Here is a 16,047-nt window from a genome sequence, read left to right on the forward strand (position 1 = left end):
ACTTGTACATATTTTTCTAAATATAGAAGGGGACGGGGATGTGAGGTACAGAGGTGGACCGTGTGAGATGTGCAGTTTCAGGGGAACAATGACTACAGGTAACCAAGGGAACAGATGTGAGTTATTGATTAGAGCTGACAGGAAAGGGGTAGGCTGTTTGACAGTAACTAGGGGCAAGGAGGAACAGGAAAGTTGAGTTTGAGAACAAAAGACAAGGAAGTTAGCAGGCTAAATCCCTGAAGAGAAACTCAGAGAAATTCACTGTGTCTTACATATGTAAACCCATCTTCAGCAGCTTCATGCGTTATGTAGTTTTTAGCAGATATGCCCTCTTAGAATAACTACTCGCTTTGGAAGTAGACACTTGTGCTTTCTCAGCAGATTTTGTCATCTACCTTTCATGGGGTCATGAATATTACTATGGCCCCATCACGGATGGTATATATTGGCAAAAAATATATATTTTGCAAGTTACACTCTTACCACTTTACTTTTTCAACATAAGTTCAAGTCTTACTTTTTAAGTAAACGTGCACTTTCACCTTTTGAGCTCATTGCTGCTATAGGGTTTATTGTAAAATTTTAAAAGTATAACCTAACATTAGAAAAGTAAATAGCTATAGCTCCTACTGTAAAACAGTCATCCACTATAATAAGAGCCCTCTGACTATCTCTATAGGCAGGACTGCTTGGCCTCTGTTTCCTATCTCACATGTTTCTTTTTGACCTTATCAGGTGGTAGCCTCAAGCCCTTGGCTATTTCACAGGACATGAACAAGTGACTGACAGGAGCAACAGCAACGAATATGTCTCACTACCACTGAAGCCAGTTAGCTGGTCCTGGTCACTTGTGTCTTTACACAGTTTATTAGAAGCCCACTCCATGCTGTCTAGAAAGGGAATATTACATATATTCTAGAATCAGCTGGGAAAGGAGGATTGGGTTATCTATTACTGCTCAACTTTCAGATGTAACTACCCGTTTATGTGTGAACTTACACCTATATTTATGCACTACAGATGTCACAACAGAAGATAGAAGTACAAAATGGGGGGTCTTCCTATTCCTGCTCATTTTCATGCAACTATGAATGATGATAGTACATTGTTTAAAAAGTTACTGGCCTGGCATGGTGGCTCACGCCTGTAATCCCAGCACTTTGGGAGGCCCAGGTGGGTAGATCATGAGGTCAGGAGTTTGAGACCAGCCTGGCCAACATAGTGAAACCCCATCTCTACTAAAAGTACAAATAATTAGCCAGGTATTGTGGCGCATGCCTGTAATCCCAGTTACTTGGGAGGCTGAGGTGGGAGAATTGCTTGAACCTGGGAGGCAGAGGTTGCAGTGAGCCAAGATGATGCCACTGCACTCCAGCCCAGGCGACAGTGTGAGACTCTGTCTCAAAAAAAAAAAAAAAAGTTCCCAACAGAGGTAATGCTAAACCAATAGATCAATAGATGTAACAGGAGCTGTCCTGGGCAAGCTGGGATGTGTGGTTTCCATACTTGCAAGTCACTTTGCCAACTCTATCCACTCTGCTTGAACTCTAAATATTGGAGTGCTCTGCTGGGTACTGGGACCCCTTGACTTCTCCCTGGTTGCTCTCACTTTGACTGATACTGAAACTCTCAAATCTGTATCTCTACTCCCTAAAAATTAAGACTTAAATACCCTACAACCTACTTATATCTCTGCTTAGATATCTAGTGAAATCATCTTACACAGCTCTATGTGTCTCTGAGTAATGAAACACTCAAAACTTAGTGGTGTAAAACCATAACGATTTCATTATGTCCAAGGATTCAGTGGGTAAGAAATTTGGACAGGTCAGAGCAAGATTTGTTTATTTCTGTTCTGTGATGTCTGGGGCCTCGGCTGGAAAAACTCAAACAGCCAGGGTGACTTGAATGGCTGGGGACTAGACTTATCTGGAGGTTTCACTCTCATGTTTGGCGTCTGGGCTGGGATGTCTAAAAAGCTGGGCTCAGCTAAAACTGTCAACCAGACCACCTATATGGGGCTTCTTCATGCGGCTTGGGCTTCTTTTTGTGGCAACTGGGCTCTAAGAGAGGCCCAAGAGGGACCATCCTGAGAGCAAGTGTTTCTCTGCAAAGCTTCCTCTGACCTATCCTTGAAAGTTAGGCAGCATCACTGCCACAGCCTTCTACTGGATATAAGCAAGTCTCTAAGGCCAATGCAGATTTATAGGAAAGGGATGCGACTACACCTCTTGATGGGTGAACAGCAAGGTCACATTGCAGAGGAGCATTCTGGCCACTTTGGAATATACAACCTGCCATACACCCCTAATATGGCTAAAACAGAACTCTATTTCTAATTCACTCATTTCCTTGAATAAATAAAACCACATCTGCCCAATTGCTACAAACTCCAAACCTAGGAATTATTCTTGCTTCCTCTCTTTCTTGCACGCCCCACATTTAATGCACCATCACCACATCATCTCAACTCTACTTCCAATGCATCTCTCAAATACGTTCACTTCTCTGCATCCCTGCCACCACCACCCTGTGGCAAGCCACCACCGTTTCTCACCTAAACCACTGCAATAGCCCAGGAACTGATCTCCTTGTTTCTATTCTTGTTCCCTATAATCTATGTGCTACACAATAGAGAGATTAATACATTTAAAATGTAAATTAGATCATACCACTCCCCTGCATAAAACCTTACTCAGAAGTTAGAATAAAACCCAGATAAATGTCTTCCCCTGGCTTTGACAGTCTTACATGATCTGGCCTCAGGTCTTGACTCCAGCTTCATCTGGTCACCATTTGACCTATCATCTACTCAGTCTCACTCGTATTCACTTTCTTTCCATTTCTCAAATACTCTCAAGGGCTTTATCTCCGCTGTTTCATTTTCCTGGAATATTCGCTGCATTTTGCATGCTGGCCTATTGTCATTTAAGTCAGTTTAAATGTCACTTCCTTGTGGCATATCCAATCTCTTAATATAAAAGTAGCCTATCAGATCACTGCCCTATTCCCTAATTTATTTCACTAATTTAAAACACAATAAGATATAGCAATGTGACACGTAACTTTCTCGTCCATGATAATGAATAAAAAGGCTATAGTTGTATTTTTTACTATTCACATTTTCTTAATTATAGTTCTTTCCTTATTATCAGACACTCCTGTATTCCCCCTTAAAATGACAGCTTCCTAGGAACAGATGCCTTCTCTGCAGACCAGTTCCTGGAAAACCTGCTAACACATCATAGGAGTACAATATTTGCTAGATGATTTGTTGCCTGAAAGTGCTGGTTAACTTACCCATTGCACAGTAAGTGACAAATACATTTCTTTTATAATAATAACCTTATTATTTTAGGTTCCTTAATTTGCTAATAAAGGAACTGAAGCCAGAATGGTCATTTGTCCAGTGTTACAAAGATAGTTGGCAACATCTTTATGACTAGATTACCTTAATTGCTAAAAACAAAAGTACTGCTTTCATACTAAGAAATGAATCTTTTAAAGTCATCTTTTGTTGAGCACCCACTTCATAAATGAGCTGAAGCTGTGATATCTAATTGTAATACTTACTGGCAGTGTGGCACTGGGCAAGCCATGTGGGAGTGTAAAGTCTGGGATTTCTCATTAGGAGACTTCTAAGGACCCTTCCAATAATAAGGATTCAATGACACTATATAGAGACATTCATTTCTTGGGACCTCCCTCACAGGGAAAGCTGAACATGTTACGGGAATGAAAACATCCCTCCCTTACTTTTGTCCATCTTATTTTATCATTCCGTCTCTAATTATAGAATACCATACTTGCACTCCATGGGTGAATGTCCAAGATCAGAAACACATCCTGAAGCAGCACTTTCCTTGGAATACGTGTGACTCCATGAAAAAAGGTCAAATATGATTGGGAAATGCCAAGACCATTCACAGGCACACTAATATTAAAGGATTTGAGAAATTCCTCAGTGGTACTCCCTTGCCCACTTTTATTTTGAAACAGGTTCTCACTCTGTCCCACAGGCTGAAGTGCAGTGGCACAATCATAGCTCACTGGAGCCTCAACCTCCTGGACTCAAGCAATTGTCCAGCCTCAGCCTCCTGAGTAGTACATTGTTTAAAAAGCTGGACTACAGGTGCACACCACCATGCCCAGCTGAGTTTTTAAATTTTATTTTAGAGATAGGGTCTTGCTGTGTTGCCCAGGCTGGTCTCAAATTTCTGGCTTCAAGTGATCCTCCCACCTTGGCCTCCCAAAGTGCTGGAATTACAGGTGTGAGTCACCATGCCCGGCCTAGCCCCCCTTTTTATAACACAATTTTTTCCTAATCCACAATGTTGCCTTAGAGGTTATGATGTATTGAGGTAGAACCAGGTGATTTTCAGGGAATAACTGATTCATGGGCAAGGTTTCCCAAATTCAGTAAGGTGCAAATATGTGACATTTTAATTTCTAGATCATGATTTTAAAATATTTTAAATGTGATTGCAAAAATAGCCTCAATTCTTCACTCTGCCCTATACTTCACCTATGTTCTTAACAATGTGATTTTCCAGCTCCTCCTATTAAAAGGTGGAGTCTATTTCCCTGCCTCTGTAATCTGGAATGACCTTATGACTTGCTTTGACCAATTAAACACAGCATAAGGGACCTTTTGACAGTTGTGCTTGGACCTTAATATGTCTTCCATGCTACTTCTGGATCGTTGTCACTCTCTGAATGAGCCTGGGCTAGCCCTCTGCATGATGTGAGACAATGTGGCTTGGCCATCCTCATTACTCCAACCAACAGCCAGCCAATCACTGGACATGTAAGCAACACCAACCTAGACTAAGCCAGCCCACTGAACCACCAGCTGACCACAGATGAATAAGCCCTGCCAAGATCAGCTGAGCCAGCCCAGACAGCAGAACTATCAGCTAACCTGAATACTTGTAAGCATTAATGCATGGTAGTTGTTTTAAGTCATAATGTTTTGGAGGGGTTTGTTATTCAGGAATTCAATGCTTGATGCACAAGGTGAAACTCATGTTTACTTTCTTTCTTAGTCCATTTTTGCTGCCATAATAGAATAACACAGATTGGCTAATATATAAGGAACAGAAATGTATTGGTTCACAATACATTTCTGTTCATTAGTTAATATGAATAAATTATGTATCATAGTTATTATGAATGAATTATGTATCATAGTTTAAAAAAACAAAAAAGCTGTCTTACTCTCTTAACAATTTGTAACTGAAAAGAGTTTAGAAAAAAAGAAAGGAAAAAAATTCTAGAGAACTATTAAAAATACTGGAAATGAAGCAGCAAATAGAATACAAATATGTTTAACAGCAAAACTTGCTTTTTCTTTATATGGGGAAACATAGAACAATAAATCTACTGCATGCTTATGCTCCCTGGGAAACAACAACAATAACAAAACATAGTGGCCCTAGAAACAAAGAGAAATGATACTGATGGCAGACAGTTGGAAATTAATAATTTTCCTGATCTGCACTCAGGTTTCTCATGCTCCTGGGATACAGGCGGGTGGCCCTTTCAGTGTGTGCACCCCCGGGATTAACATCTGTGTGAACATGGCAATAGAAGAAGGCAGAGTAGATGAATTCCTGAATTGTTCTTACTGACACTCACAGATATGTTTCCTTGGATGATTACAGTTCACAGGTGCAGTGGCCACACACTAATTGAAAGAATTATTTTCTTAACATTCAGTGTCATCTGCAAAGACTTTTGTGAAGAGCATAATTGTTTCAACCAGCTGCTAGGAGCTGTTTTTATTAATTTTTTAAAAAATCAAACGCCAAAGCAGGGGATATTTGTAATATTTCCCCTCTACATTCTTTTAGGGGAATAAACGAAAAACAACAGCCCACAGCTCTATGAGGCTAAGACCTTTGAAGACCAAAGATTTGGGTTCCATAAACAGTGACATCAAAAATGTGTCCTTTTCCTCTCTATTTTTATTCTCACCCCACGATAGGCTATCTTGTGTACAGCATTGCTGGGGAGACACCTGCTGGGATCAGTGAAGCCCAGAGTAGGTCCACGGAGAGTCCATGCACTCTCACTGCCTGATAAAGTTCATCCCAAATTTCCACTGCATATGCTCCTTTAAAGTAGAGAAGATGCTTTAGGTTTCATGATTTCTGTTATTTGAGTGGCTGCCAAATCAATCTCTAAGGCACTGACCCTAATAATGAAAAAATATCCTTATGGAGTCAAATCTCTAATGTGTAAGACTTCCCAAATTTTCCCAAAGGCAACCTGTAAATCACTCTGAACCTAAATGTCACTGCAGTGTCATACTCCTTTCTTTTAATGATTTGCCTTCCCCTTTTTAAGTTTCTCAAGAGGCAAGTGTCTTGGTATGAGCTGCTATAACAAAGTACCATAGCTTATAAACAGAAGTTTATTTCTTGCAGTTCTGGAGGCTGGAAGTCTAATATCAGGGTGGCAGTATGGTTGGGTAACAGTGAGGGCCCTCTTCTGAGTTGCATACTGATAACTTCTTGTATCTTTACATGGTGGAAAGAAAGTTAAGAAGGCTCTCTATTAGTGCCCTTTTATAAAGGCGCTAGTTCTATTTCTGGAGGCCCCACCCTTGTGAAAGCTATACCTCCTAATATATTGGGGGTTAGGATTTTAACACAAGATTTTTTGGGGGACACAAACATTCAGTCCATTGTGGCAAGTTTTTTTTTTTTTTTTTTTTTTTTTTTTTTTTTTTTTTAGGAAAAAAAAGCTCTATAAAAGTGAAAGGTGGGAGAAAAGGAGAAAGTATGCATACTGTCATTCTTATTACAAGGTAGAAGCCATGTATTTTACACCAGTGATTTAGTGAAAGAATTTGGGTGGAAAGTGATAGCCTATACTTCTAAACAATGAAATAAGACAGAGATAAAGATAAAGTCTTATTTTATAATGCAGAATTGGGCTCTCTCAACTATTTGGAATCTTTAGAAATGCTTACTTTAAGCTCAAAATTCATGCTCTGAGCAGGCTTTTGCACATACTTCCCTGAGATTACAGCACTGTTACAACATGGAACTGAAAATCTTAGCATGGTCCTCAAAATGTAATGCATTTATTCTGAAACAGGATTTCTTTACCTACTAATTTTTTTCTTTGTTTCACATTAAAATCAGCGGCAAATTAAATGCAAATGTGTAGAGAAATGAAACACTTGCACTACAAATTTACACACACCAAACCAGAAAAAAAAAGAAGGTTATAGTCCTCTTGCCAATTGTAAATCCCCAGACTTCTAAATACATACACTCAGTGTATTAAAGAACAACTTAACCTTGTTTGGAGGACTTTGACTTTTGCAATTCTCAACATATGTTTGTTCTTCAAACTAGAAATTGCATTTCCATTGGGCTGAATATTAATATATTAGTTTCTTCTAGTGCTTAAGCTACTTGGAAATAAGTCTGTTGCTTTTAAAAATTACCAAGGGTCTTTAAGATAATTAGAATCCCATACAGAAAAGTATGCCAAATGCTAATTAAAATACCAGGTTGTTTTTAAAGACAAAACATAAAGAAGCACTCACACATTCAAAGTCACACAGGGGCAAATTCAGCCATCAAATGCCAATGGCTTTTGCCATCACTCATGGACACCTCTCCCAGCAGGCAGTCTTTCCAGCTAGGTTATTGCAAAGTGTGCCATTTGTTTGACATTAATGCATCACCAAAAGTCACCACATCAACCGAGCCTCACATTATCATTTCGCAAATGCTGGATGTATTAGGTTAAGTGGGGAAATGGTACACTTATACTTTTTAACATTTCTTTGTAATTGTTTCACCTAATGTAGCTCTCAGTCACCCCCATCCTTACTGATCTTCCCAGACCAGAAACAGATGTGCAATGTCATTGTATGCTGGCCATTTAATGATTAAAAACAAAAGAACTGAATAAGGCAGGACAGGGTTGAATGTCACTCATGCAGATATTGAATTTCCTTCTGTATTCAGAGGAACTGTGTGTAAAACCCACAGAGGGAAAGTAGAATTAGAATCAAAACTGCCTTTTGCCTAGATTACTTACATAGCAGAACGCAAAAGATGCCCTTAGTTCTCCCAATACCTCAAGCTATGTATTGTCCATTTGTTAGGAGGACTACAATCCAAGAACCAATTATTTACTTACAAGGAAATGAGCAAGATTCCATACCCCAAAGAGGACTAAATGTAGTTTACTGAACAGCCTGAATATTACAGAGTGTCTTAATCAGTAGTTAAACCCTCATTCTAAAAGATTCAGTTACCTCAGAGAGGAGGCCACCCCGAGAAATGTCCTGTGGAAGCCAAAGCCATGGAGAAGTTGGAGTGTGCTGGGTTAGGGGCAGGTGATCCAGATGTGCACATCTGCTGCAACCCACTCCCTCCCCCAGGCTATGGCTGGGCTGCAGTCTGTCACCAGGGACAGCCAGCACAATGGGGAGGCAAAAGAACAAGGTAAAATGACATTTGGAGGGTTTTCTGAATTATGAGGATATTCTTTGAAATTCCCAGGCATTGTGAAGGGTCTTCAAAGGGATTCTCAACTCCAGGATTTAGTGCTCTGGGCAGTCACCCAGGTACCACAAAATCCCTATGGGTGTGCATCTCCTTTGTTACCCATGTGTATACTCCCTCCCTGACGTCAAAGCCATGTTTGCTCAGCTTGATGAAAATGTGTTTCTTGAAAGCCACATTCTTTTCCTTTTCTGAGCCAGTGAGGTTTCTGCAGAGCTCATGGTGCTGATGTTTCCCCCTCCATAGAAGGGATGGAAAGGACAGTTGTCTCTGTGTCGAGCATATGTTAACCAGACAGGGCTTGTTTGCCTAAGAAACCTTATGTTTATTTTTTGTTTCTGTTTGGCATCTAACCAGCATTGTAGTAAAATGTCTGTCTCTTAGCTTTGTGAATGGGAGGCTTGTGGGATACGTGCCTGTTTTTTATGCATTGGTTCCTTGGTAGAGAATTGTTCTGAGAAATGGTCCTAGTCATAGCTTAGCCTAGCATGTGGCATACCTCTCTCCACCTTGAAGAATAATAAATGTAGGGCTGGGGGATGATAGTGACTCAATGCTATTGTGCAGGGATGGTGATCTTCATGGGTTCTTCCAAGGTCTAAACAAATCTTCTGGACTCTTGCCAAAGTTTTTATTGAATTATAGTACAAGGAGCTGGAAAAAAAGCAAAAGTCATCTTGATTGTCCAGTAGAACTTATTTTAGCTATTTGGAGACTTAGTCATTTACAGCAACATTAAGTGGGATGCCAAAAGTCTTCATCGTTAATTTAGTAGGTATTAGTTTCACTGTAGAGCCTAGAGAGATGTGCCTGAGGCCATCAGCCTGACCTGTTCTGTGTAACCTATTGTAAGACTGAGAAAGGACCTGATATTTGTCACATGTCTATGATGTGAGAGGCTTTCAACATTCATCATCTCACTCTAACCCTATGAGGTGGTTATTTCCATTTCATACCCAGGAAATAGAGGAAGACAGAATTTAACTCAACCAAATTCACATAACTGATAAATGGTGGAGTCAAATCTAATCCCATGCTGCAATGACTCCAAAAATAATTTCAACATCAGAATCTTGAGGAAAAAGTCTCTGACACTATGTACTTCACAGAAAGATCTCATGACTTTATAAGATCTGCTGGTGTTACCGTGGTCCCAGATGTCACTGGTGGTGTTGCCATGGTCATAGATGTCACTGGAAGCTTCTGATGATCTACCCTGTAACTGACTACTCCACCTTAGTGCCCTGACCGCTTTGTTCCCACGCCTCACCTCCCTTACTTCTCAATATTTATTTTCCCATTACAAAAGGGCCTACCTACTCTACAACAAATGCTCTGTGAGTTCCTTGATTGCAAAGGTAAATGAGAAGTCCCTCCCAGAGAGGATTTTGTATTCTAGGGACATTTTCCCCTCACCTCTAAGGACTGAGGTGATTTAAAATGCATTTATTCTCAGAATTGAGAATTTAAAGAATCTCTCTGCACTCATTAACAAAGGCTCACTCCTTTCTACTGTTCTTGGAAGAGTTTTCAACCTGGAGTCTCTGAAATGATAGGGGTATCTATAAGTTATTCAGTCATTTAACTTTGGTCACTAAGAGTTATTTAAAATATTTAATTACATTCAATGGAAATCATGCCTTTATTTGAGATATTTTACAGGCAAATTAAAACATCGATGTCCTTTGTGGATTTATTAGAACTATAGCAAAATATACCTTTGATTCATTAAAATGGGAAAAATAATTGTTAGATAAAAATACAGTGTGAAAAAAAATATTTCCATAGCAGCAATGGCAATGTTGTGAGGTTGGGGAGGGGAGGTACTAATAAAATAACTCCATGGTGGCAAAAAATTGGATGCCACTGATACTTAATGTTTCAATTCAGCACTTGTAGGAAGGGAGTTTAGGGATTATACACTATACTTTGGAAATAGGAAATGAAAGTGATTAACCCAAGATTGCCCCAAATAGTTGCCCGCCTAATGAATAGACTCCAGATCTTCTGATGTCAAGCCCATGATACCTCCTAGAGTACTCTAGTTCAATGAATTTGTGTGCAATGGCTATTTCCTAGAAAATGGTTCAAAGTTCAGACAATATGGTTAAATTTAAACACTTCTACAATTAGATGAACATAATTACACGCTATTTTTTAAAAGATAAATAGTAAAATGCCAAGAGAAACAACATTCACCCAAATCAATTGTGTATTTTCAGGAAAATATTTGTGCCTAGACCACCTACACAACTGTGCAAGCCTCTACCTGGTTGGCCACAAAACATAGATACAGTAGATAGATAAGAACTCAGCCTCAAAAAGATTTCTCAATGAATAGTTAAGAAGTAACAAGATCTGATGTTTAATGAAAATTGCAACCTACAAATAATTTATAACTGTAAACATAGTTTATTTAGTGTCTCATTTCCATTCCTGTCCATTGTTTCCCATATTGAAATGAAGGATCTTACAGGACCTCTGTTACTTAGGATTTTCACCATATTTCTTGATGAAGGAATAGCGCCAAGACACCACAAAGATAATTAGGTCCATGGGCCAAAATGGCAATTATAGCTAAACGAAACAAAAATGAAGGGTGAATATTTTATTCAGTTCAGCTGTTAAGTCTTAATGCGAAGAAAGAGCTTTCTACAAATCTGTAATGGACACCAATTTCTAATCTCTTCCATTATTAGCTTTAGAAAGTCTTATCATGGCATATTTTGGCAGCCAACCAAGCTTGGGATGTTCAGCTTAATAGATTTAAACTGAAATTTTAGGGTTTCCCTTCTTCTGCTATTCAAAGCATACAATTAAACCTCTTGGTGAACTGCTGATAACATTTCTCTAAGCCAAATTTGCCTTTGGATACAAAAGGAACATTCCTGGAGAATGACATAACATTGCCACTGGGCCAAAAGGAAAACATGTTGTGGAAGATTTTTTTTTTAATAACAAAATATATTGTTTCAGGATTATATACAGCAATGTGCTGTATCACTAACAAAATATTAGGACTTTGGGAACTGAAATAACATCCTGCATGTCCATAGTGTGTACGTAGTTAATAGTCATGTCTCTGGGAGACTAGTTTTTTTGACATCAGCATACACAAACTTACTATCATTATAGATGGTGGAGTGAGAAATCAAACTCTAATTAAAAGATTACGTGCTAATATGTGCTTATAAAATTCCTTTGTGATTGCTATAGAGAAATGAAAACACTGCCCCAATAAAAATGAAACCACATAAAAAAATACATTCATTCAACAAATATTTATTGATTATCTAAACTACACCTGGCACAATAACTATGTAAGGAACTAGGGATATAGTAACCTTATTGAGCTTACAGTCTTCTGGGATACAAAGTTATTAATCAAAAACTCATACAAATAATGTCAAATTTCACCTGTGATAAGAGCTGTGAAGAGAATATACGACTAGTGTAGCTTAGCATGCTTTAGCTGTGTGAGCTTGGATAAGCTGCCTAGTTTTTCTGAGCTTTCTTTCTTTGTTTTTAAATGTGATTAATGATGGTCCCGCATCAGAGGGTTGTTGTGGGGGACTGTATGAGATAATCAATGTAAGTCCCTGTCCTAGAGTATATTCTCAATAAGTGTTACCTGTTATTATTGCCATTTTTATTGTTATTTTCATTATTATTAGCAAAGGAGGTCAGAAAAGCCTTCCCTGAAGAAGTGAGCACTAGGCTGGATCTAAGACAAGCTGAAATTACCATAGTGAGAAAGAAAGGGAAAATATTTCTAGATGAGGACACAGCAGGTGTGTATACCCTGTGGAGGGTAGAACCATAGCAAGGAGGATGAATCCAGAGAAGGCTGACATACGAAGGCTGAGACAACACAATGCGAGGCTGCACAGGCAGACAGCATTTGATGCCTTTGTGGATGTAAATATTTAGCTCATCTCTATTATTTATTGTGGATGTATAAACACACACACAAAATACAATTTCCATTTATTGTAGAGAATCTAATTTTACAACGCTATGCAAAGCAAATGTAGCACAATTCTACTCCCGTAATTTCAGAATGGATCATTTATTCATTCATTTATTCACCATCCATTCAGTCTTCTGTGGGCTAAGCATGCAGTTAGAAGCCAAAGTTACAAAGGTGAATCAAGTACCATCCCTGCCATCATGAGGGATTAAAAAAAAATAGACAAATAAAATAACTCATAGAATTACTGAAAAGAGAGATAGACCAATATCTATGAAGGACAGAGGAAAGATTCATTAACTCTGTGGGGAACTGGGTAAAGCATTAAGGAAGAGACTTTTGAGTCATGAAGAATGAATAGAAAGGAAAAGAAAAAAAGGGAAGGAAGAACATGTCATAAGAGTAAAGAGCATGGAGAAGGAGATGTGAAGTGCCCAGCAATGTGGGGTGATCAGTCAAGGTGATCAGGGAAGGAATGGCAGAAGACAAGGTGGGAATGGCTGGAGAAATGCAGAGGATGAGGGCTTCATGGCATTTCATTTGTTAGCAATCTGGAATCAAAAGAGCAAAGCAAGGGCTTCACCACTGGGAGCAAACTGAGACCTTTCCATTTTCTGATTGCACTGGTAACGAAGCCAAAGCAAGAAGAGAAGTTTAGAGAAAAAAGGGTGAAAAGAAATGAACAAAGCCTCCAAGAAATATGGGACTATGTGAAAAGACCAAATCTACATTTGATTAGTGTACCTGAAAGTGATGGGGAGAATGGAACCAAGTTGGGAACACTCTTTAGGATATTATCCAGGAGAACTTCCCCAACCTAGCAAGGCAGGCCAAGATTCAAATTCAGGAAACACAGAGAACACTACAAAGCTACTACTCGAGAAGGGCAACGCCAAGACACATAATTGTCAGATTCACCAAAGTTGAAATGAAGGAAAAAATGTTAAGGGCAGCCAGAGAGAAAGGTCGGGTTAACCACAAAGGGAAGCCCATCAGACTAACAGCTGATCACTCTGCAGAAACCCTACAAGCCAGAAGAGTGGGGGCCAATATTCGGCATTCTTAAAGAAAAGAATTTTCAACCCAGAATTTCATATCCAGCCAAACTAAGCTTCATAAGTGAAGGAGAAATAAAATCCTTTACAGACAAGCAAATGCTGAGAGACTTTGTCACCACCAGGCCTGCCTTACAAGAACTCCTGAAGGAAGCACTAAACATGAAAAGGAACAAATGGTACCAGCCACTGCAAAAACATGCCAAATTGTAAAGACCATTGATGCTATGAAGAAACTGAATCAATTAACGGGCAAAATAACCAGCTAACATCATAATGACAGGATCAAATTCACACATAACAATATTAACCTTAAATGTAAATGGGCTAAATGCCCCAATTAAAAGACACAGACTGGAAAATTGAATAACAAGTCAAGACCCAGCAGTGTGCTGTATTCAGGAAACCCATCTCACGTGCAGAGACACACATAGGCACAAAATAAAGGGATGGAGGAAGATCTACCAAGCAAATGGAAAGCAAAAAAAAAAAAGAAGGAGTTGCAATCCTAGTCTCTGATAAAACAGACTTTAAACGAACAAAGATCAAAAGAGACAAAGAAGGCCATTACATAATGGTAAAGGGATCAATTCAACAAGAAGAGCTAACTATCCTAAATATATATGCACCCAATACAGGAGCACCCAGATTCATAAAGCAAGTCCTTAGAAACCTACAAAGAGACTTAGACTCCCACACAATAATAATGGGAGACTTTAACACCCCACTATCAATATTAGACAGATGAACAAGACAGAAGGTTAACAAGGATATCCAGGACTTAAACTCAGGTCTGCACCAAGGGGACCTAATAGACATCTATAGAACTCTCCACCCCAAATCGAGAGAATATACATCTTTCTCAGCACCACATCACACTTATTCTAAAATTGGCCACATAATCGGAAGTAAAGCTCCCCTCAGCAAATGTAAAAGAACAGAAATCACAACAAACCGTCTCTCAGACCACAGTGCAATCAAATTACAGCTCAGGATTAAGAAACTCACACAAAACCGCACAACTACATGGAAACTGAACAACCTGCTCCTGAATGACTACTGGGTAAATAACAAAATGAAGGCAGAAATAAAAGTGCTCTTTAAAACCAAGGAGAACAAAGACACAATGTACCAGAATCTCTGGGACACAGCTAAAACAGTGTGTAGAGGGAAATTTATAGCACTAAATGCCCACAACAGAAAGCAGGAAAGATCTAAAAATTAACATCCTAATATCACAGTTAAAAAAAACGAGAGAAGCAAGAGCAAACAAATTTAAAAGCTAGCAGAAGTCAAGAAATAACTAAGATGAGAGCAGAACAGAAGAAGATAGAATCACAAAAAACCCTTCAAAAAATCAACAAACACAGGAGCTAGTTTTTTTAAAAGACCAACAAAATTGATAGACTGTTAGCAAGATTAATAAAAAAGAAAAGAGAGAAGAATCAAATAGACACAATAAAAAGTGATAAAGGGGATATCACCACCGATCCCACAGAAATACAAACTACCATCAGAGAATACTATAAACACCTCTATGCAAATAAACTAGAAAATCTAGAAGAAATAGATAAATTCCTGGACACATACACCCTCCCAAGACTAAACCAGGAAGAAGTTGAATATCTAAATAGACCAATAACAAGTTCTGAAATTGAGGCAATAATTAATAGCCTACCAACCAAAAAAAGTCCAGCACCAGAAGGATTCACAGCCATATTCTACCAGAGGTACAAAGTGGAGCTGTGCCATTCCTTCTGAAACTATTTCAATCAATAGAAAAAGAAGGAATCCTCCCTAACTCGTTTTATGAGGCCAGCATCATCCTGATACCAAACCCTGGCAGAGACACAACAACAAAAAAAGAGAATTTTAGACCAATATCCCACACGAACATCCATGTGAAAGTCCTTAATAAAATACTGGCAAACTGAATCCAGCAGCACATCAAAAAGCTTATCCACCATGGTCAAGTTAGCTTCTTCCCTGGGGTGCAAGGCTGGTTCAACACACACAAATTCATAAACGTAATCCATCACATAAACAGAACCAACGACAAAAACCACATGATTATCTCAATAGATGCAGAAGAGGCCTTTGACAAAATTCAACAGCCCTTCATGCTAAAAACTCTCAATAAGCCAGGTATTGATGGAACGTATCTCAAAATAATAAGAGCTATTTATGACAAACACACAGCCAATATCATACTGAATGGGCAAAAACTGGAAGCATTCCCTTTGAAAATCAGCACAAAACAAGGATGCCCCCTCTCACCATTCCAATTCAACATAATGTTGGAAGTTCTGGCCAGGGCAATCAGGCAAGAGAAAGAAATAAAGGGTATTCAATTAGGAAAAGAGGAAGTCAAATTGTCCCTCTTTGCAGATAACATGATTGTATATTTAGAAAACCGCATCGTCTCATCTCAAAATCTCCTTAAGCTGATAAGTAACTTCAGCAAAGTCTCAGGACACAAAATCAATGTGCA

This window comes from Homo sapiens, chromosome 6 (genome assembly GCF_000001405.40).
Source record: "Homo sapiens chromosome 6, GRCh38.p14 Primary Assembly".
NCBI classification, from domain to species: domain Eukaryota; kingdom Metazoa; phylum Chordata; class Mammalia; order Primates; family Hominidae; genus Homo; species Homo sapiens.